This window comes from Homo sapiens, chromosome 13 (genome assembly GCF_000001405.40).
Source record: "Homo sapiens chromosome 13, GRCh38.p14 Primary Assembly".
In the NCBI taxonomy this organism is placed as follows: Eukaryota; Metazoa; Chordata; class Mammalia; order Primates; family Hominidae; genus Homo; species Homo sapiens.
The window spans coordinates 69,407,140-69,409,498 of record NC_000013.11 but is presented as its reverse complement, the minus strand read 5'-3'; the positions used below and the strand labels follow the sequence as shown (position 1 = coordinate 69,409,498).

Genomic DNA, 2,359 nt, shown 5'->3' with positions numbered 1-2,359 from the left:
AATGCATTCAATGTCTTCTTTACTTATAATTGTCTCTGAAATGTCAGATTATGTTGTGTTTCAACTGACAAGAATGCAGAACATCTAAATGCTTTTGAAGCTATTATTTTACATATTCTATTATTACAAATATTACTATATTTACCAGTAACAGACAAAATTTATATACTGTCAACTTCATTTTTTAAATTTAATTTATAATTGAATATGATATGTGTCAAAATTTTTGGTAGCATCAACACTTCTATAAGATTATTTTTATGTATTCTTTCTTGTATAGTTAGTACTAGAACATTTTTTTTTAGAATTAGTTCCCTAAACCTTTAAGAATTAATATTTTTTCACTCCCCCTTATTTCATTTCAGTTTTTACTTCTTGCATCCAATTTTAGCTTATAATAATAATCATGCATAACAAAGAAGTCAAGAGTGTAGACAGATGGAACTTCAGTATGTGAGAAATACATTATGGGTAACATATCACATCTCACAACACTCATGATCAGCTGGCTTTTACTTTAAAAAGTCTTCAAGAGTATTTATCTGTTTCCCAAACTTTCAACAGCATACATATGACAAAACAGAATGTTTATTCATTCTTGACTCCACAAAAGGATATTTTTATTGAGGCAAATACATTTATTAAGAAAAACCTTTGGCCATTTTGGAGGGATTTTGGGGCGTGGTGTGACTAGGGGTGCTCAGCTAGGCTAGGCTTGGTGGGAAGGTGTGTGCTGAGGTCACGCTTTCTGTGGCTGCCATGTTGGGAAGCCGCATGACTCGTGGACAGGCGGGGAAAAAGAATTGTCACATCTATGTGGATAACTTACCTTCAGGTATCCCAACCAAGGACACTGAGGACGTGATCTATAAATATGGGCACTATCTGTGACACGGACCTCAAGAATCCCATGGACCTCCCTTGGCCTTTGTTGAGTTTGAACAGCCACGATGAGGAAGATGCAGTGTATGGTCTCCATAGCTGTGATTATGACAGATGCCTTATGCTGGTGGAGTCTCCTACAAACGGCCTTGGCACAGGCCAAGGAGGCAGCGGAACTCCCCAAGGTTTCCATGGCTCCCCTACCCAGGTGGTCTGAAAACAGAGTGGTTGTCTCTGGGCTGCCTCCAGGTGGAAGCTGGCAGGAGTTAAAAGATCACATGCATGAAGCAGGTGGTGTATGCCATGCTGAGGTTTACCAAGATGGCATGGTGTCATGAAGGATGTAGAGAAAGAAGATATTACCTTTGTGGCTGGGAAGCTGGATAATACCAAGTTTAGATCATTACATTGCTCATTTTGTAACTATTTTGCTTCCTCCCAAACATCTTTTGTCTTAATAAGAACTAATGTGGGAAGAACTGACTAATTTGTCACAGTGCTTAGTTACAACTGGTAATGTGTGACCTGCTGGTAGTGTACATGTAGGTATAGAGTATCTTTAAATCTAAGATAGAGGATAATATCAATATTGCTAAATCTGCATATCCTCTCTGTGACTGTTAGAGCATTGCTATTTTATTTTCTTAAGAAAAAATGAAGCAAAATGGAAAGTTCCAATGTATTGGTGTACATAATCCAGTTGGGAATACTTTAAATCTCACCTTCTACTTTAAACTAATTTTTCATAATTGGCTCATATATTTAAAACACTTTAATTTACAAATTAAATTGCAAATGAGAGCATTGAATTTAGTTTAGACTTAGGTGGGTAGCAATACCAGTAAGCTTTTAAACGACATAAATTTTTCAACCACAAACCCTGTAATATGCTGTAGAGTAAGTGTTGGCACTATCAGTTGAACTGTAAATATCAAATGCTTCTTTCAATTAGTCTCTATACTAACTAAGTTTCTAAAATTTATCTTCTGTGCACCTCTGCCTCCCGGGCTCAAGTGCTCTTCCCATCTCACTTCCCAGTAGCTGGGACTACTGGTGTGGGTCACTACATGCAGCTAATTTTTGTATTTTTTGTAGAGACAGGTTTTCATCATGTGGCCTAAAAATCCTGAGCTAAACTGATCTGCCTGCCTTGGCCTCCCAAAATGCTGGGATAACAGGTGTGAGCCACTGTGCCCTGCCATTTTGCAGAATTTGATAGTTATTGATACTCATCAGTTAAACTGAATACAGACTGTGGTGGTTAATACTGAGTGTCAACTTGATTGAACTGAGGTATGCAAAGCATTGATCCTGGGTGTGTCTGTGAGGGTGTTGCCAAAGGAGATTAACATTTGAGTCAGTGGGCTGGGAAAGGCAGACCCACCCTTAATCTCCATGGGCACCATATAATCAGCTGCCAGCACTGCTAGAATATAAAGCAGGCAGAAAAATTTGAAAAGACTAGACTGGCCTAGCC

General features: G+C 38.3%; 1 pseudogene; it reads left to right on the top strand.

Annotated features, from left to right (window-relative positions):
• On the top strand, positions 658-1,569 carry SRSF1P1 (serine and arginine rich splicing factor 1 pseudogene 1; annotated as a pseudogene).
• Positions 1,570-2,359: the final 790 nt, after the last annotated feature.